General features: G+C 39.7%; 1 protein-coding gene across 19 annotated transcripts in view, besides 1 other annotated feature; it reads left to right on the top strand.

Annotated features, from left to right (window-relative positions):
- The window catches only part of FANCC (FA complementation group C), a 218,656-nt gene that overhangs the window by 35,505 nt on the left and 162,170 nt on the right, over positions 1 to 20,981 (top strand). The window contains exon 1 of one of the 19 annotated variants that reach the window (XM_047422949.1): positions 3,484 to 3,910. The exons of 17 other annotated variants lie outside the window; for them this stretch is intronic. The gene's annotated coding sequence lies outside the window, so the exon portion shown is untranslated. Of the gene's footprint in view, positions 1 to 3,483; positions 3,911 to 13,345; positions 16,610 to 20,981 lie in introns of those variants that run through there. One more of the 19 variants, XM_011518365.4, reaches the window with a different exon arrangement.
- Positions 13,184 to 13,478: a silencer, noted in NCBI's record as "tiled region #1693; HepG2 Repressive DNase unmatched - State 8:EnhW, and K562 Repressive DNase unmatched - State 12:CtcfO". NCBI's record gives its function as "represses a minimal TATA promoter and a strong SV40 promoter by Sharpr-MPRA in HepG2 and K562 cells {active_cell/tissue: HepG2 | K562}" and the evidence as "EXISTENCE:reporter gene assay evidence [ECO:0000049][PMID:27701403]".

Genomic DNA, 20,981 nt, shown 5'->3' with positions numbered 1-20,981 from the left:
TTACTTTCAGTCTATGTGTATCCTTATAGGTGAGGCAAGTCTTTTGTAGGCAGTATATAGTTGGGTCTTGTTTTCTTTTTTTTTAAATCCATTTAGCTACTCTGTGTCTTTTAATTGGATAATTTAATCCATTTACATTCAAAGTAATTATTGGTAGGTAAGGATTTACTACTGTCATTTTATTAATTTTTTTCTAGTTTTGTAGATTCTTTTTTTCTTTCTTTCTTCCTTTGAGGTTAAGTGATTTTCTCTAGTAGTATATTTTGATTCTTTGCTTTTTATTTTTAGTGTATCTATTATAGGCTTTTGCTTTGTGGTTACCATGGGACTTATAAAAGTATGCCTTATAGTTATAAAAGGTTATTTTACACTGATAGCAACTTTGATCGAAAAGAAAATACTCTTTAACTCCACTCCCCCATTTTGAGCTTTTGGTGTCAAAATTTATATCTTTTTATATTGCATGTCCCCTAACAAATTATCGTAGCTATTATTTTTAATTGTGTTGTCTTAACCTTCTTAAAAAAATATATGATGTACATACCACCATTACAGTATTAGAGACTTCAGAATTTGACTGTGTACTTGCTTTTATCAGTGAGTTATATACTTTCAGATGTTTTTGTGTTGCTCATTGCTATCCTTTTCTTTCATCTTGAAGAACTCCCTTTAGCATTTCTTGTAAGACAGGTCTGGTGCTGATGAATTCCATCAGCTTTTGTCGTCCAGAAGTCTTTATTCTTTTCTTCATTTCTGAAGTACAGCTTTGGTAGGTGTAATATTCCTGGTTGATAGTTTTAATTTTTTTTTCTTTAGGACTTTGAATTTCTTCAGGACAATGTTTCTGCTTAGAGGTCTCTTGTTAGGCATATTAGTACTCCCTTATAAATTATTTGCTTCTTTTCTCTTGCTGCTTTCAGGATCCTCTCTTTGTGCTTGATCTTTGACATTTTGATTATAATATGTTGTGGGGTAGTGTTATTTGGATTAAATCTGACTGGTTGCCCTTGATCTTCCTGTACGTGGATAGCTATAGCTTTCTCCAGGTTTGAAATACTTTCTGTTATTATTTCTTTAATAAGCTTTCTACTACTTTCTCTTTTTCAAGGTTCCCCCTTGAACACCAGTGACCCACATATTTGCTCTTTAGATGTTACTCATAAATCCTGTAACTTCATTCCTTTTTCCTTTTTCACCTTTAGTTACGTATTTTCAATTAACCTGTCTTTGAATTCACTGATACTCCTCTAATTGAACAATTCTGCTATTGATGCTTTCTGTTGGATTTTTTATTTTGTTCATTGTAGTTTTTAGCTCCTGGATTTCTGTTTGATTTTAAAAAATTATTTCAATCTCTCTGTTAAATTTCTCTGATGAATTTCTGAATTGTTTTTCTCTACTTTATTGAAGTTAGCCAAATTTCCTTAAAACAAGTATTTTGAATTTCTGTCAGGCAGCTTTTCTATAATCCTCTCTTTAGGATCAGTTACTGGCAGCTTATCTTTGTCCCAAAGCATGTTTTTCCTCCTTTGGGCCAGCTGGTTATTTAGTAGTGCCTTGTTCAGTTTCCACATTTGTGAATTTCCTTTGAAACTTCCTGCATTTATTTTTAATTGCTTTTTTTGTCATCAGAGCACATTTGTTATATTACTAATGTTCTTTTAAATATATGAAGACTCATTTTATGACCTAGCATATGATCTGTTTAGAATATTCCATGTGATCTTAAGAAAAATGTATATACTATTGGGTGGAGAATTCTATAGATGTAAGTTAGATCTAGTTGGTTTATAGTGTTATTCAAGTGTTCTGTTTTCTTGTTGATCTTCTTTCTAGTTGTTTTATCTATCACTGAAAATGACAGTTTGAAGTCTCCAGCGATTAATATTCAATTGTCTGTTTCTCCCTTTCTGTCAATTTTTGCTTCATGAATTTTGGTCCTTAGTTGTGTATGTTTATAATGGTTATATCTTCCTGATGGATTGACCCTTTTATGATTAACAAAATGTCCCTCTCCATCTCTAATAGCTTTTTGTTTTAAAATTTGTTTTTTTTAATATCAGTATAGCCACAATTAAGTTTCTTGTTTTTGTATGTTTGCATGACATATCTTTTCTATCCTTTTACTTCCAATCTGTTTGTATTTTTCACTCTAAAGTGTGTCTTCTATAGACAGCATATAGTTAGATCATGTTTTCTTAAAGTCTGACAATCTTTGTCTTTTGATGGGAATTTTTTTTTTTTTTTTTTTTTTTTTGAGACAGAGTCTTGATCTGCCACTCAGGCTGGAGTGCAATGGCACGATCTCTGCTCACTGCAGCCTCCGCCTCTCAGGTTCAAGCGATTCTCCTGCCTCACCCACCCGAGTAGCTGGGATTACAGGCACCTGCCACCACAGCCAGCTAATTTTTGTATTTTTAGTAAAGACAGCGTTTCATTATGTTAGCCAGGCTGGTCTTGAACTCTTGACCTCAAGTGATCCACCCACCTTGGCCTCCCAAAGTGCTGGGATTACAGGTGTGAGCCACCGTGTCCAGCCTGATGGGATTGTTTATTCCACTCACATCCATGATATTATTGACATAGTTGGCTTTATGTCTGAACTTTTACTTTTTCTGTATATCTCGTCTTTTTTTTGTAACTCTGTTTCTCCTTTTATTACGCTCTTTTAAGTAAGTATTATCTGTTTTTTTTTTTTTTAGACAGGGTCTCACTCTCTTGCCCAGGCTGGAGTGCAGTGGCATGGACATGGCTCACTGCCACTGTTGACCTCCTGGGCTCAAGTGATTCTCCTTCCTTTGCTGCCCATGAAACTGGGACCACAGGCATGCACCACCACACCTGGCTAATTTTTCTATTTTTGATTTTTTTTTTCTTTTTTTTTCTTGAGACAGAGTATTGGTCTGTCACCCAGGCTGGAGTGCAGTGGTGTGAGCTCGGCTCACTGCAACCTCTGTCTCCCGGGCTCAAACTATTCTCATGGTTCAGCCTCCTGAGTGATTAGGACTGCAAGCATGCACCACCATGCCCAGCTAATTTTTGTATTTTTAGTAGAGACGGGGGGTTTCACCATGTTGGCCAGGCTAGTCTCTTAAGTCTTGGCCTCAAGTGATCTGCCTGCCTTCACCTCCCAGAGTTCTGGGATTACAGGTGTAAGCCAGCATACCCAGCCAATTTTTTTTATTTTTTTGTAGAGATTTTTTGTTGCCCAGGCCAGTCTCAAACTCCTGGGCTCAAGTGATCCTTCTGTCTTGGCCTCTCAAAGTGCTGGGATTACAGGCATGAGTAGTAACTGATGCCTGTAAGTGAATATTTCATAATGTAGCATTTTAATTTCTTTAATGATGTTTTCACTATTCTTTTTGAATTTTTTTTTTTTAGTGGCTACTCTAGAGTTTGCCGTAGAATAATTACCGTGATATATAGAAATGTTACTCCTATACATATGATTTTTGACTTATGTCCTATACATATGATTCTCGACTTATGATGGAGTTATATCATCATAAGTTGAAAATATTGTAAGTCAGAAATTCACTTAATACACCTAATGTAGTGCACATCATTGCTTAGTGACACCGTGCACTGTAGAGTGTTACTTGTTTACCCCTGTGATTGCTGGGCTGACTGGGAGCTGTGGCTTGCTGTCACTGCCCAGCATTGTGAGAAAAGCATACTTGAGAAGAATGTATGTTCTGTTGTTGGGTGGAGAGTTCTATAGATGTCTGTTAGGTCTGCTTGGTTATAGTGTTATTCAAGTGTTCTATTTTCTCGATCTTTTTTCTAGTTGTTTTATCAGTAGTTATGGTATCACATATCAGTAGCCTGGGAAAAGAGCAAAATTCAAAATTTGGAGTATGGCTTCTACTGACTGTGTATCACTTTCATATCATTGTAAAGTCAAAAAATTGTAAGTCTAACCTTCATAAGTTATGGATCATCTGCATAGCTTTATTCCCTTCTCTTCCTTTTTTTGTGACATTATTGTTATACATATTACCTCTCAATGTTATGAATTCAACAATGTTTTAATTATTACTTTAACATGTGTAGTTACTTCCTTAGCCCAATACAGCTTGGCTGTTTAACTCATTTGCACTGTGTTTGGCAAATATATTTACATATCTTATTCCTTTCTATATGTTATAGGCCCAACAGTACAGTGTGTACATATCATTTTATGCAATTCATTTTTATGTCAGTTATGAGAATAAGAGAGAAAAAATGTGCATTTATAATTACATAATTATCAGTGTTCTTTTATTGTGTGGATTCAAATTACCTTCTGGTATTAATTCACTTTTTTTTGCAAAGTGGGTTTTCTAGCAACAAATTCAGTTTTTGTTCTTCTGGGAAAGTCTTTATTTCACCTTCATTTTTGAAAGGTAGTTTTGGGGGATATGGGATTCTTGGTTGACAACTTTTGAGCACTTTGAATATGTTTTCCCATGTTTTTCTGGGATCTTTTGTTTCTGCTGAGAAGTCACCTGTTAATCTTATTGGGGTTCCCTTGTAAGTAATGGGCTATTTTTCTATTTCTGCTTTTAAGACTTTCTCCTTGTCCTTGACTTTCAGCATTTTCACTACAGTGTTTTTGTTTGTGGATCTCATTGCATTTATCTTATTTGGGGTTTGTTGATGTTCCCAAGTGCCAATAAATTTGGGGAGTTTATATGTTTCTTTTTAAAAATTATTTTATTTTTAATTGGCACGTAATGTGCATATTTATAGGGTGCAATGTGATGTTTCAACACATGTATATATTATGTACTGATCAAATTAGGATGATTAGCATATCCGTCATCTGAAACATTGTTTCTTTGTGGTGAGAACTTTCAAAATCCTCACTTCTAGTTATTTTGAAATATGCATACATTATGTTTAACCCTTTTCCCATTTAGGAAAAAAGGTGCAGCTCACTACCCAGCGCTCATTTAATTTTACATTAATGTGCTCTTTGAGGCTGAAGCAAATCTGACAGATTTTCAATGTGAAAATAAAATATAAAAACTGTTTTTGGAGTTATTTCTAAACAGAACTAACATCAGAATTGTCTGAATCATCAGAATCATCTATTTCAGAAAAATTGAATTGAAATGGATCTTTGGCTAATAACTGTTCAAGAACAATGTTACCATCATGCGTAGGAATGCTGCATTTTCTAGGATTTGATATTTTCAGCGATTGAGAATTACTATATTTTGTAAATGGAAATACCAGTGCTAAAAACAGAATGTTATAAATAGAATGATGTTTTTTGTTTCCAAATTCAATGTACTAGAGCTTGCGAAAATAGTAGTAAAAGCGAGCAAAGTTATCTCAGAGTAGACGCTGCAGCCTCATGTACTGTGGGCGAGTATTCTCTGGGCAAACGGGAAAAGGGTTAACTGTAGTCAACCTACTGTACAATAGAATACAAGAACTCTTTCCTCCTGTCTAACTGTAACTTTGTACTGGTTGATGAACCGATAATTATGCTTTTTAAGCTCGTGGAAAATGTTTCAGATCTTTAACCACAGTTAGTAGGCAAAAGTACTCATACTCTTTCTTTGATTTTTGTTGTTGTCGTTCTTGAGATCCTACTCAAATCAATGTGGTGAAGCCTTCTGAGTATTGCCAGACCAGATATAATTCTTGGGGTATGACAAGGAATGAGTAGTAGCACCTTATGAAGCCTTAGGTTAGGTATACATAGAAATAATCATGCTGTTACTTGAGATTGCCCTGCCCCTAAATAAGTGGTCTTGAAGATGTGGTAGGCAAGGGACAGAGAAAGACCAAGCTCCCTGTGACCAGAAAAGGATTATCTGTTATTTAGAGGAAAGGGTTAGAGAAAAGCTGGCCCATTGAATTAATGCAAGAAACCAGAGGTACTGTTAGGATATTCTGCAGACTAAGTCAGGGTGAAAACATATTTAAGAACAAATTCAGCAACTGAGAAACTTCATGTCTTGAATGTGAGAGGCAATCTCCCATATGAAACTGTTAGTTGACGTTGAAAATTCATTCATCCTGGTGGTTGGGTTAGGAGGAGACCCAAGAAGAGCTTTTGTATTTAGTTTCCTGGTGGTTGGAGAGTTCAAACACTAGACTTGGAAGCAGATAATACCTCATAGTACAAGGAACAGGAACTTTTCTCACTGTCTGGAAAAACCAAGCATCTGGCTGTCTGATTTTAGTGAAATTGTAATTCAGGGGGAACTGATTAATTTTATTAGACAGGGTGTGAGTCCTGTGGCTCCTGCCAGGTGTAACTGAGATCCACTCTTGCCTTCTCTCTCTGCTCCTGCTATTTATGATCCTTATGCTCAGAGTGTGTAGAGTAGGTTTGCATTCTTTTTTTTCTTTTTAGAGACTGAGGTCTTGTGAAGTTGCCCAGGCTGGATTTGAACTCCTGGGCTCAGGCCATCCTTCTGCCTTAGCCTCCTGAGCAGCTGGGATTACAGGCATGCACCACCTAGCTAGGTTTGGGTTCTGTTTGGCTACACTTCCTCCTATTCCTGCCACCAAGGTTTGTAGTTGTCGTTGATTTTAATAGACTATTTTTTAGAGCAGTTTTAGGTTCACAGCAAAATTGAGCAGAAAGTACAGAGATTTCCTCTATACCCCATGCCCCCACATGCATAACATCCCCCTACTGTCAACATCCCCCACCAGAGTGGTACATTTGTTAAAATTGATGAACATGCATTGATACATCATTATCACCTGAAGTCCATAGTTAACATTAGAGTTTACTCTTGGTGTTGTACATTCTATGGGTTTGGACAGATATACATGTGTCCGCTATTATAGTATCATACAGAATAGTTTTATGGCCCTACAAATCCTCCGTGTTCTACCTATTCACTCTTCCCTCTCCCCTGCCCGAGTGGAATTTCTGTTTTTATTTTATTTTATTTTTTGTTTATTTATTTTTTTGAGATAGGTTCTTGCTCTGTTATCCAGGCAGGAGTGTGGTGGCACAATCATAGCTCACTGCAACATCTACCTCCTAGGCTCAGGTGATCCTCCTGCCACAGCCTCCTGAGTATCTGGGAGTACAGGTACACACAACCATGCCTGGCTAATTTATTTTTCTTTTTTTTTTTTTTTTGTAGAGACAGGGTCTTGGTATGTTGCCTAGGCTGGTGTCAAACTCCTGGGTTCAAGCAATCCTCCTGCCTCAGCCTTTGCAATCCCAAAGTGCTGGGATTACAAGCATGAGCCACCACGCCTGGCCTGTTTTTATTTTTAAAAATTACTTGAGGAACTGGTTCTAATTCCAGTCCTGTGCTGAACTTGTATCATACATAGTTCAGAGAATTCCTACCTATGTAGGGACTGCAGATATCCTCCCCTTATCCCTTTCCTCCTTTCCCTTCCCCAAATAATGGCAAGTCAGTGCCCATACTGTGTATCAGTCCATTTCATTTTTTGAGATTTCCTTGATGGTCTGCTAATTTGGAGACACTTCTGGACAAATGATAAATTTCTGGCAGTACAAGCCCAAAGTAGTAAGGTTTTGTTCTAGACACTGGAGCTAGAATGAAATTTAAAAATGGTTCCTTGCTTTTACACTGTTGGTGGGAGTGTAAATTAGTTCAACCATTGTGGAAGACAGTGTGGAAATTCCTGAAGGATCTAGAACCAGAAATACCATTTGACCCAGCAATCCCATTACTGGGTATATACCCAAAGGATTATAAATCATTCTACTATAAAGACACATGCAAATGTATGTTTATTGCAGCACTGTTCACAATAGCAAAGACTTGGAACCAACCCAAATGCCCATCCAATGATAGACTGGATAAAGAAAATGTGGCACATATACACCATGGAATACTATATAGCCATAAAAAAGGGTGAGTTCATGTCCTTTGCAGGGACATGGATAAAGCTGGAAACGATCATTCTCAGCAAACTAATACAGGAACAGAAAACCAAACACCACATGTTCTCACTCGTAAATGGGAGTTGAACAGTGAGAACACATGGACACAGGGAGGGGAACATCACACACCAGGGTCTGTCAGGGGGTGAGGGATTTGGGGAGGGACATCATTAGAAGAAATACCTAACGTAGATGACGGGTTGATCGGTGCAGCAAACCACCATGGCGTGTGTATACCTGTGTAACAAATCTGCACGTTCTGCACATGTATCTCAGAACTTAAAGTATAATAAAAAAATTAAAAAATGGTTCCTACTCTCTATTTACAAATTATGACCACTTCATCCAAAGATCACAAATTCTAAAGTGATACAATCTTTCTGGGTAGCCTTAACTAAAAGAGCTGTATCACTCTTGAGTTCCTCTATGCATATGCCAATCATTTCCTCTTTGCTACACCCTGTTTTGAAGTGTCTGCCCAGACAGTAGTACTCATCAACCACCAATCTTTGTGGGATGAGCAACTGACCCCGTAGAAAACTATCTAAAGGGTCTGTTGGCTGGATTGAGCCAATCACATCCTCTTCCCTGAGAATGGGGACCTTGAGATACTGAGCTGATTAGATAATGGTTAGTTCTTGGGCTGAAATTTCGTATAGAATTGTGACCACCTTCTGAACTACAGCATAAAAGACGTGCAAGCTGGGGGAACAAAAAAAGCCACAGACAGCAGAGACAGCAGAGGCAGCTAGTGTACAGAGAGATGTGCTTGAACGGAGCAGAAATGTGGACACCCTGAGATGTGGCAGGAGCTTCTAGTTCCACTTCCTATTTGGACCAGCTAAACCTTTTCTTTCCTTGGGTGTTGTTCATGAGATCTTTGGTCATAGCCTTTTCATAACACCTCTTCCCCCATTTGACTTGTGCTAGTTGAGTGGATTTCTGTTCTAGAGCTGAAATGCAGTGCCAGCAGAATCTAGTGCAATAGAGTCTTATGTAATTAAAGTCCTAAAGACTCTTTGGGTTGTGAGACACACAAAAAGATAGAAAACCAAGGTTGATAATCAGTACAAAATAACTACATGTTGGGGTACCCTTCAGTCAGTCAATGTCTTCCTCACCGGTAGGCATTTAGTGACTCGTTCACCACCCTTCCCTCGTCGAGGCTAAAGAATGCCTACGTCATTTCATCTTTTCTCAAAAAAGAAAAACATTCTGCTGTTTTCTGCTTCTTTATTGATCACATTTGTCCTTAATTCCTTCATATAACCTCAGGTAGAATATTAGTCTAGGTGCCAGGGGATGTGGGTTCTGTTCTTGTTGGGGTTCTAACGGGATGGATGGTCTCTGTAAGGTTCTTCATCTCTCTGTACCCCTACCCCCACACCTTTGCCGGACAGTGAAGAGTTATGCTGATCACCGATTTCTAGCTGATAACTCCCACAAAACAAGGTGTGAATAAAGAGTGTGAAGAAATCAAGCTACTTCACAGGCATTTGCTATAGATGAAATAAATATGCCTATCCCTCACTTAATGATGTTAATTCTAAGAATCCTGCCAGTAAGTGAAAAGCTAGAAAATGAAAAATTACTTCTGTTAATTTTTTTGTTGTTGTTTTGGTTTTGTTTTTTGAGACAGAGTCTTACTCTGTTACCCAGGTTGGAGGGCAGTGGCGTGATCTCCCAGCTCACTGCAACCTCCACGTCTCGGGTTCAAGCAATTCTCGCCACAGCCTCCCGAGTAGCTGGGATTACAGACATATGACACCACGCCCAACTAATTTTTTCTATTTTTAGTAGTGACAGGGTTTCACTGTGTTGGCCAGGCTGGGCTCGAGTTCCTGGCCTCAAGTGATCCACCCGCTTGGCCTCTCAACTGCAGCCGGCTAACTTATGTTCATTTTAGTGGTAAAAGTTATGATGTGTTCCATCCCAACCTAAGATGTCCAAATACTTTCTACAAATAGAAAAATATATCATTGAGCAATGAAAACTTTTTATTAGTAAATAATCCAAAATTAAATAAATGTAATTGGTACATAAAATGTGTTAAAATGATGCTTTGTTGCCTCAATAAAAAAGAGGAGGCGGGGCCGGGCGCGGTGGCTTGTGACTGTAATCCCAGAACTTTGGGAGGCCAAGGCAGGCGAATCACGAGGTCAGGAGATCGAGACCATCCTGGCTAACATGGTGAAACCCTGTCTCTACTAAAAATACAAAAAAATTTAGCCAGGCGTGGTGGCGGGTGCCTGTAGTCCCAGCTACTTGGGAAGCTGAAGCAGGAGAATGGCGTGAACCCGGGAGGTTGAGCTTGCAGTGAGCCAGGATCGCGCCACTGCACTCCAGCCTGGGCGACAGAGCGAGACTCCATCTCAAAAAAAAAAAAAAAAAAAAAAAAAAAGAAGAGGCTTGATGGGATTGATGGAAGAGGGAAGGAGCCATACTTTGGAAGGTGGTTGGTGAGTCAGGTGATAAACTTTTAAGGCGTGCATTCAGCAGCAAAAGTGCTTAATAATATTTTTCATTGGGGATTTTGACAGTAGAAGAAACTCCTAATGTGGAAACCTTTGGTATATTGGTAGAAGGGAATCTTCAGATCAAAAAAAAAAGCAAGATGTAACTTTGCTTCCCTTTTTGTAATTTGCAATTCATACACCTCCTTGCAGGATGCGATATTAGTTTCCCGAAGCTGTTATAGCAAATTACTACAAACTTGTTGGATCAAGAGAACAGAATCATATCTTGTTGCAGTTCTGGAGGCCAAAAGTGTGAAAACTGACATGGCCACATTCCCTCTGGGGACACCTTCCTCTCACTTCTGGCGGCCAGCATGGCATTCCTGGGCTTGTGGCCGCATCCCTCCAATCTTTGCTTCTGTCTTCACTTTGCTGCCTCCTCTGTGTCTGTCTCCAACTTGCTCTGCCTCTGTCATAAGGTTGCATGTGGCCTACCCTACCCTGATATTCCAGGACAAGCTCCTTCTCTCAGGATCCTGAATGTTACCACTTTGTAGTAGTTGTTGTTGTACAAGGTAATAGTCATTCCTTTGCCATGTAAAGTAATATTCACAGGTCCCATGTGCTAGTGTGGGAATGAGGTGCCGACATTTGGGCTGCTAATTCTTTGTTGTGGGAGACTGTCCTGTGCTTGGTAGATGTTCAGCGGTGTACCTGGCCTCTGCCCACTGGGTGCCAGTGACATCCTTCTCCCAGCTGTGACAACCAAAAATGTCTTCAAACATTGTCAAGGGTCCCCTCTGGGGCACGACTGTCCTTGGTTGATGAGCACTGCTTTAACCTAATCAGAGCCCATTCTTATCCCACTCAAATATGCTGACTGGGAAGTTTCCAGTCTCGTTAAGAAGGGGGAGGGTGGAGAATGGATGCTGGAGAGGTGACTGCTCCTCTCCACTACACCTAACATTCTAGTGAAGTCCACAAATGGGCCAAATCGAGCAGGATTATGAAATTTTTGCTAGACCCCTGTTAGTGTATTCTAACATTGTGGCATTTTATATTAGTCAACTAAATCTCAATATTATGTTTTAAAAAAATCCAATGGACCTCTGAATCCCCAGGTTGGGTTTTTTCTACTTTACCTATGTTAAATATGTTAAATACCTAGGTTGCCCTTTATCTTAGAATTTGTCCATGTATCACCTCATTCTTTTTCAGCAGGTCCCTTTCTGGAGGTTTTCATACTCAGTTGGATTTATCCTCCCTGCGACTGCTGCCTGCTCCTTGCCTTGCCATGCGGCATTAGTAGAGTATGAACTGCACATTTAGCACAGCAGTTTATGCACTAGAGAATCAGGATTGGAATTTTTCTGAAGTATCTTATTTTTCTGTGAAATAATTGAAACAGAGTATAGACACATTTGCTGTTTTGAAGTTTTTATGATTTCCAAAGTAATAAATGTGCACTCTCACAGTTCTCGGGTGGCTGATCTCTGGAGTGCTTGCCGTTTCTCCGGGTGGTTGCTTTGTACAGGCTCCCCTCTCGTGTTGGCCTGCAAGTGCTCTCGCTGCGACGGGTCCCTGACCGGTACTGGATGAGAGGACTAGTACTGGTGCAGATGTTGGCATAAACAAAAGCTGCAGCTTTTTAATCATGACTAAGGCATGGGAGAGGCTGACATATAATTGTGGGGAAAAGCGAGAGAGATCAGATTGTTACTGTGTCTGTGTAGAAAGAAGTAGACATAGGAGACTCCATTTTGTTATGTACTAAGAAAAATTCTTCTGCCTTGAGATTCTGTTAATCTATAACCTTACCCCCAACCCCGTGCTCTCTGAAACATGTGCTGTGTCAACTCAGAGTGGAATGGATTAAGGGCGGTGCAGGATGTGCTTTGTTAAACAGATGCTTGAAGGCAGATGATCAATAAATACTAAGGGAACTCAGAGGCTGGCGGGATCCTCCATATGCTGAACGCTGGTTCCCCGGGTCCCCTTATTTCTTTCTCTATACTTTGTCTCTGTGTCTTTTTCTTTTCCAAATCTCTCGTCCCACCTTACGAGAAACACCCACAGGTGTGTAGGGGCAACCCACCCCTACAATAATGGTTCCCAGAGTGTCCCTCTCAGACCAATAAAACATAGCAAAACTACGTGATAACCAGGCTGGAATGTATGTGAATTGTTCGAGTGAGTCTGTGTCACTTGAACTGTACTGGGCAGTACCTAGGGGCTTCATGTAAGGCATGAAGGGCTCCAGAAAGAACCCGCTCTTTGCCTTCAGTTGTATTCTATATGTTTAATACACAGCACAGCAGAAGCAATCAGCTCTCCCCAATGTTACTTATCCCATAAATCATCTTTCCTTACACCTACGTATTTTCTTCTGTATTCAATTTTATTAATGGATCATCTGATCTCCAGCTTTGCTGGTTTAGAACCTCTGTGCTCATCTTAAGCTCCTCAAGGAGAAAAGGACTATTGTAATCATCTTTCAACGAGTTTGTAAAAACAATTCCCCCATCACAGCACTGTGCCTCATAGGGTTTAAAATTTGACCGAATGACTGACTTTACATACATCCTTCCCAGACCCTTTAGGACTACTGCTCCCCTAGAGGTTTTCTCTGCCCTTTGGAAAACAGGTAGGGGAAGAGGGATCTAGAAATGGCAGTATTCATTAAGATAGCCAAAGCTTGATAGGAAGAGACATTCATTTTACTGTGGTAATTAAAGTGAAAATGGGAGAATAAGAAGGCATGCTGCTTCTTTTTCAGGAGTCTTGGCAAGGGTTCTAGTTTTAAAAGAAAGAGACACAGCCAACTAGATTGAAATGATGTGGAGTTCATCCCTCCACAGTCATATTTTACTGAGCCATTTTTCAATAAATGGACTAAATTGTCCCTTGGAACTCAGTAGGTGGTGCTCTTGTGCTATAGCATAGCATCGGCTTTGGAGAGGTTCTGAGAGCACAGCGGCTGGTTCCAGGGCCTGTGTCCTGTCAGTCCCCTTTCATAGCTGCCAGGCACACACCTGGAGGGCATCACATGGCTGGTCTGGTGAGAGGCTTTCTGTCTTTGGAAATGAGGGGGTGAATTAAGGTCTTTACCTTCTCTAGCCTGTCTGAGCTCTGCTTTCCAGGGGAACCTAAATGAGAGGTTTTCTAACCTTTTAAAGAAAAAAAAAATGTGACTGTTTATCCAAACAATTACGATGTGTATTGTTACCAGTTTTCCAAGATTTTTTATATTGTTATTCATCTGTGATTCCTCAAATCAAAGTTCCTTTCCACATAACTCAGGGTATCATTCTTGTTTATGTTTTCCTTTATGTTAATGTTTGTTTCCTGTTTAAGCTTCAGAGAAGATGCAGCAGAAAGAAATAAATATGTAGTAGAGAAATTTGGAAGTGATGAAGGAATACAGGTGAAAGCCATCGAGTTCATGCAGCAGCTAGTAGTAACTTAGCTGACAACAGACCCTTTTGGCAGGAGCCCATTGCTTTACTCCTTTTGCTATATAATGAGTTCCTTGGTCCGAAGTTGGTTGTGATACCATGATGGTGAATAAGGAATCCAGTCAAGTCCACATTTGGTGATGCTGGAGAAGTGTGGTGGGCAAAGAAGATAAATTTAAATCCAGAGTGAGTTATCTATTACAAGGAGGACAAATCTGTTGCCTGAAGCATTTCAGGGTCTGCTTTTTCATCAAGTTTCTGTAGGGGTTGTATAAAACGAAAGTTACTTCACCTATATCCACCAACTGGTAGGGGAGAGGCAAAATGCTAGTGGGACTCACAGCCTGGATGTGCTGATCTGACCCATTCAGTCACCTGTGATGTCGAAAGGCTACCAGCCAGGTCCGAGTGAGGCCAGGCTGTGGGGCCAGCAGCTGGGCTCCTGAGCTGTGCTGCTGCAGATCCAGTGATGTGCAGTGTGTTTTGTCAAGACAGAGTGCTTCCTCTCCAGTCTACTGTCTAGTATCTTGTGCACTGAGTTTTTAGGTTTTAATGACCGTAGTCCTGATTTACATACTTTGCAGTTGATTTTTTTTTAGCCATCTTTTAATTCTGCCTTTTCAATTTATACTTTCTTATTTTTTAATTAGCTTTTTTAAAAAGCACCCTAAATATACTGATTTTTGTTGGTTTTAAAAATCACCTTAAATATATTTTGTTGGGATTATTTTAGTGTCTTAAGTATACTTTGTTAGGATTTTTTAGCATCTAAATATACCTATTTGTTGGACTGATTAACTTCATCTGAAGTGAATTTGTGATCTAATGTCTGATATTGTTAGTTGCATTTATTTCTTCATGTACTTTAGAACTTTGGTTAAATGACATGTTTTGAATGAGGTTTTAAAAACTTTTCACTCATTCAGTCATTTTTCGCCTCTTTCTCCCTCTCTGCACACTCTCCCCTGTGTAGCCTCATTCTGCTTGTCTCTGTCTGGCTTCCATGGAGCCTGGGTGCAGAACTAGCTTTCACAGTGGGGGCTTAGTTACCTGGGCATTCATGGCTGCTTCACGCAGTGCCTGGTCCTGCCTGACAGGTGTCCTCCATCCTCCCTAGACCGCCACTCCATAGGAGGCAAGGATGCTGCGAGCCTTCCTTCAGGCATGGAGGGGTAGGGCTCTAGTCAGCACCTTCCATCCCACCTTCCAGCAAGGGTGCTAGTTTCTCACTCTGTCGTTTGTGCCTCTGTTTAGCCCCCAACCCTTCTAAGACCCAAACCTACAGTTTCATTGCCTGTTTTTGGACCCTAGCATAGGAGGGGCTGGCTGCTCATGGTTTTGTCCTCGGGGTCTTGCCTCTTTGTGTTTCTGTCTCGTATCGATTTCATAGAAATGTTTATTTTGTGTGTGTGCTTGCCTGTATCCTTTTCCTTTTTTCTTTTTATGTTTCCCCTCTCATTGCTGTATGTTTGGAGTAAAGAGAATCCATCCAAAAGTGAATTTACCGTGCCATCTTAACTGGAAGTCACATGGGCAGAGAGTTTAAAGGAAAGAAAGATACTTGGTTTTACATAGTACTGAAAGCTAACCACAAGAACGCTTCCTATGTGAGCTCAGTGACCCATAGCATATAGTTACTTAAACTCCGTCTGAGGCTTGCAGGCCCCAAAAGATGAGTGGGATTAGGCAGGTGGGATTTATTAGGGTGCTATGGTTCTCTACAAAGGTTTCACCTTCTATTTTTCATTTTGGTGGTAATTTTTTAAAAATTCATAATTCCACACACCTAAATGCCTGCAATTCTAACTAAGTAATGTCTTAAAATTTCAGTGCCTGGAGTTGTGTTTGTATTGGTGCCAAGGAGCACTGCTTTAAATATAGGGAGATATTATAAAAGAACAGAGGTGAAAATGTAAATAACGTGTTTGAGCTAAGAGATTGCCGTTGCACAGTGGTTCTGAAGAGGAAAGTGATGCGTGAATTAAGCTGTCTCCCTGCATGTGTTAGTATTGGCCAGTCAACAGAACCTGCCTGTCGGTACCAAGCCCTACATGGTTAGTCCAAAGTGAGTTTCAATGACTGCATCATTGATCACGCTGAATTAATTTTGTCAATTTAAATTTTACTCATTTTGTAGATTTGTTGGTATTTAATTTGTATATTTTTTATATTGTGGTTGTGTAAGAGTTACAAGCATAAAGGTTTTACTGGTTTATGTTTGTTAATATTTAACTAATAAGAAGAATGACTTTAGATAATACTGGGAGCTCTCAACAGTTTTTAAGTTTGAGAACCATGGGTCAAATGGTAATTTAACTCTTGCTGTTGGTTGCAGCAAGCACCTTGCATTTGATTTTGATGTCTTTAGCTCACTCCTGCTCATGCTTCCTGACCTGCTTAGCTCAGGATCGTTTCTCTCTGGGGACTCTGACACCTCCATGCCGGGCTGGTGCCCCTTCCTCATGCTGCCTGCAGCCCCCTGTGTTTCCTTCTCTCCCAGCCCTTCCCACAGTGTAATCTGTGTATGGGTCCCAATTTCCTCATTAGCCATAAGTTGCTTGAGAGTGGGGAACACTGTCATCTTTTTATTTGCAGTGATTTTCAGAGCTCTTGTCATAAAATAGGCTCCTAATAAATGTATGGGTTTCCTTGTTTTTGTTTAGGTAGTAATAAATTACCTGTAGAATCAAGGAGAGAAAGAGGCAGAAATAACTTGGAGCCAAGTCACAAGGCAAGAAGAAGCTTCCTAATATTTTAATAACTAATGTGTTCCTCAGCTCACTTTCTAACTGGTCTAACCAAAACCCAAGTCTTACTGTCAGGTAAGTGAAGTGAGGACAAGAAACGCAAGGAAAGGAAGTAATGATTGTAATAGAATGCATGAGGGAAGGCTGGTATTTTTCAAGTCCGAATGATGGCTCCTTGGTGCTCTGATGGAGAACAAGGTCAGAGATTTCTGTCTTAGCAGCCTCGATGGCAAGCGCTGTGGTGAAGGGATGCTTTTATTTTGAAGCCAAGTCCAGAGAATAGCTCCTCTCCCCCCATTGCTGAGGTCTTGGGTGGGAGAATTGAGCCTAGTAAATCCCCAGAGTTATCTGCTAGATTCAGTTTCCTTAATTCTTTGCAAAGTCATCTGAAGAGTATATATACATACTCTGCACCTGGATTGAAGTTGCCTCCTCCAATTCCTTAGGCCCAGATTTTGTTTACAATTGAGGTTTGTTTGAAATTATCTGCAAATTTCAGGTCTGTGTTTTTGATTAGACTATCTCAGAGGTGGAACGCCACTGACTCAACAGAGAAATAGCCAGCTCCTCCTAGTGGAACTTTTCTTAAAACCTCATTGGTTTTAGGAGGAAAAATACCATTTGTTTCTTTCATAAGCACTTAATGGGAACAAGAATCTTTTATTGTGACTTTCAAAAAAAAAAAAAAAGCCACAAACACAGGGGTAAATTGACCAGTCTTACCCTGTGAAGTGAAGCAAAGAAACATTACATTTCAGCAAATTAAAAATAGTTATCAGGCTTTCATCAAGGAAGAGGAAGAATCTTGTCAACTTAAGTGGAATTGAACATAAATTTCTTAATTTTATATTTGATTATATTTTAGGGGGTTTTAAATATTTTCTGACAAGGTCATGGTGCCCCTAGTTGATGACATTGATTGATTGGAAGCTAAGTATTTGATTTGTCTTTTTTTTCTTTTTCCATAATTAGTGTGTTTTGTAGCATTCTCTCCATACATCTCCTGTTTGGTGCTTATTTCATGAGAGAAAGGACCTCATGCTGAGGGTAAATGGGAAAAAAGTGCACTTTATCAGGTCGCCTCCACTTTGAGAAGCTTATATGGTCCATATTTGGCATGAGTAGACTTAGCTCTCTGGGCTTAGAGATGTTTTAGACCAAAGGAAAGCATTCTTAGACTTTCTTGTCCCCCTGACAGGTACCATGTATAGCTACTTTTGTGTGGTTTAAAATGAGCTTTGTTTTAAATGTTAACAATCTTGGAGCTACAGGGGTTTCTATCAACATAAAATCAGTCAGAATTTTATCTGTTTTATTTTTCTTCTACAACAGCCTTGTTGCTTTTTTTATGTATTTATTTTCCATACATTTGTTCAGTACATATTTATCATGCTCCTACAATGTGCCAAGTATTGTGTGAGTTTGTGGGTTTCAAAATATGCTCAGCAAACTAGGTCCTGAGATGTGTCAGCTAGGATGTGTTTGATTGCAAGTAACAGGAAAGCCAAAGAATGGTGTTAAGGGATTAAGCAAAAAGAGCAGTTCCACATTTGGCTCCTTCATTGCCTCAACTATGCTGTGAGGACACGGGGCTGTGATTCTTCTTTGCTGTTTGCAGTATGTTGGCCAGTCCCCTCAGGTTTCCTTATCCCTGGGTCTCAAGGTGACTGTTACCGTTCTGAGTATCACACAAAGACTACTATGTCAGATATGGAAAAAAGTGAACTCATTTAAAACTGAGGAAAACTGAGAAACCTTTTGTTGAAGTTCAGTTCTCATGCCCTATATTTCCATAATATACCTGTTCCTACAGTTTGATAGGCGAGCAAAAGTAAATACCATGACTGGTCTGTACTAGCCATTCCCAAAATGTGGCTGAGGGCCCAGGGTCCCCGAGACCCTTTTAGGAGGTTCACAAGGGTAAAACTATTTTTATAATAATGCTAAGCTGCTATTTGCCTTTTCGACTCGCATTCGCTCACTAGTGTGCGGTGGCGTTGTCAAGAGGTTACATGATAGATGATGATGACCTCTCTCTGACAGCTAATGGAATGTGTGTTTGTATATTTTGTCTTTTTAATTGTTCTCAGTTTTAGTTTCTGGTGGTAAATATCTATCTATCTATCTATCTATCTATATCTATATATATATAGATATATATATATATACACATACATACACACACACACACATATATATATAAATAAAACTCTTTGGGGTCTTCAGTAACATTGAAGGATGTAAATGGGCCCTGAGAACAAAACATTTGAAATTACCTGCTCTGTGTGAATCAAGATTCACCCCTGGCACTGGCGGATATCCCAGTCTCCCTAAGACATATGGCCTTGAGATTCCTGGACAAAACTCTTAACAAAGAGGAAATGGAGAGCTTAGGGCTGCTGGGTGGGCAACTAGCAGTGTGTGCAGCCCTGTTCTGAGGGGGCCCTGAGGAGACAGCAGGGCAGGGATGCAGCATGTTCTCCAGGCCCCACCTCTGCTGGGCCAGCCAGGACTGGAGCCACTGTAGGTTTGTCATTTGTGTGTTGTTGGTTTTTTAATTGTGGTAAATATAAATAAGATTGTAACCATCTTAACCACTTTTACATGTAATTCAGTGGCATTGATTACATTAACATTGTTTAACCATTGCCGCCATCCATCCCCAGAACTTTCCCGTTATCCCAAACAGAAACTCTACCCATTAAGCAGTAACATTCCATTACTGTCTCCCCTCATGAATTAATTTGCCTCTGTGAATTTGACTATTGTAGGTACCTCATCTGTGTGGAATCAAAGAATATCTGTCCTTCCGCATTTTGTCTGATTTCACTTAGCATGGTGTTTTCAAGATTTATTCCTGTATGTATCAGAATTACATTCCTTTTTAAGGCTGAATGATATTCCAGTGTGTGCATATGCCACACTTCGTGTATCCTTTTCTCCACTGATGGATATTTGAGTTGTTCTCACTTTTGGCTGTTACGCTGCTATGAAATTGGGTGTACAAATATCTCTTTGAAACCCTGCTTTTAATTCTTTTGGGTATATACCTAGAAGTGGGATTGCTGGATCAATGGTAATTCTATGTTTAGTTTTTTCAGGAACCACCATACTGTTTTTCGTAGCAGCTGCGCCATTTTACATTCCTACCAGCAGTGCACGAGAGTTCTGGTTTCTCTGTGTCCTCATCAACACTTGTCGTTGTTTTCTTGATAGTAGCCGTTCTAAGTGAAGGGAGATGGTTTTCTGTTTGTTTTTAATGAATTAGGATGCATTGCCCCAGCCTGTCACCCAGCGTCTCCTCCCTCTTTGTTATCTTTCTTCAGACACTGCTCAAGTGTTTTAATGCTTTTACTTCCTTCTGCTCTCATGAATTGTGCTTGGTGAGCTCCATATTCTTGTAAGGTACATTTTCCATGAAGTTTTTGAATATATCCTTCTCCTAAAGGATAGAATTCACCAAAATGAGGAACCTTTAGTCCTGAGGTAATACTCTTTGTTGCCTGCTGTACTTTGAATCTGAGCCATGTTATCTCGGTGACTCAGACCATGAGCCCCTGTGGACAGTGGTGTATCTTTGTATCATGGCTATTTGAGTTCATAAAATAGTACTTAACAAGCAACCAAACTCTTGAGCAATTTATATGTGTGAGAAGAAGGGCAATGGCAGTGGTCCTAAGCTGATGCCATTGTGAACTGGTTCCTTTTCAGTATCTTGGATGTTTGCATGGCCCCATGGCTGGTTTCCCTTGGTACTTTATCCCAGCCCCTCACCTCTTCCTGCTTCTGAAGGATCCGCTCCCACCTGGCAGGAAACAGGGACAGGATCAAGCATGTGTGGGTCCTTCACTGGACACTGCCTTCTGTTCCAGCGTCTGCATCTCTCTGCTCATACGACTTTGCTTTAGTCCCCTCTGCATAGGAATTTCTGAAGGTCTTTATTTAATTTCTTTATTTTCTCCTGGAAATACTTACTGAGGGATCTAACAGCTTCTGTTGTTTTTAGTCTGCATACGTGGAGAAGGTGAAATCATGGTTTGTTTTGATTCCTTAGGGACTGGGTAAATGCACTAAAAGATACATTATGCAAGAAATGGAAAAAGTGGATTTCCTTCTGATTTTTCATGCCAATTGCTTTTGCTGCATTAGTATATGCTGTGCGTGTATGCACAAAATACTTGTTAACATCCTGAGTTTTCAGGAAATATGTTATAAAACATTTACCTTTTTTATTTCTTAAAAATGCTAAACAGTATTTCTCTAAGAGCTAGTAATGAAATGAATTTAGGTACATACACTAGGCAGAATCATAAGAAAGTCAAGGACTTACATTTGGAGCAAGATAAAGGATTTTGGTATTGAGCAAAAAATATAGTCAGCTGTCAATTGTCTAATAGGTTTGTAGATTACCTGCGATAAAAAAGTAGTACATCTGTGAAAAAAGTTG

This window comes from Homo sapiens, chromosome 9 (assembly GCF_000001405.40).
Source record: "Homo sapiens chromosome 9, GRCh38.p14 Primary Assembly".
Lineage (NCBI taxonomy): Eukaryota > Metazoa > Chordata > Mammalia > Primates > Hominidae > Homo > Homo sapiens.
This window is presented reverse-complemented; position numbering and strand designations above follow the sequence as displayed.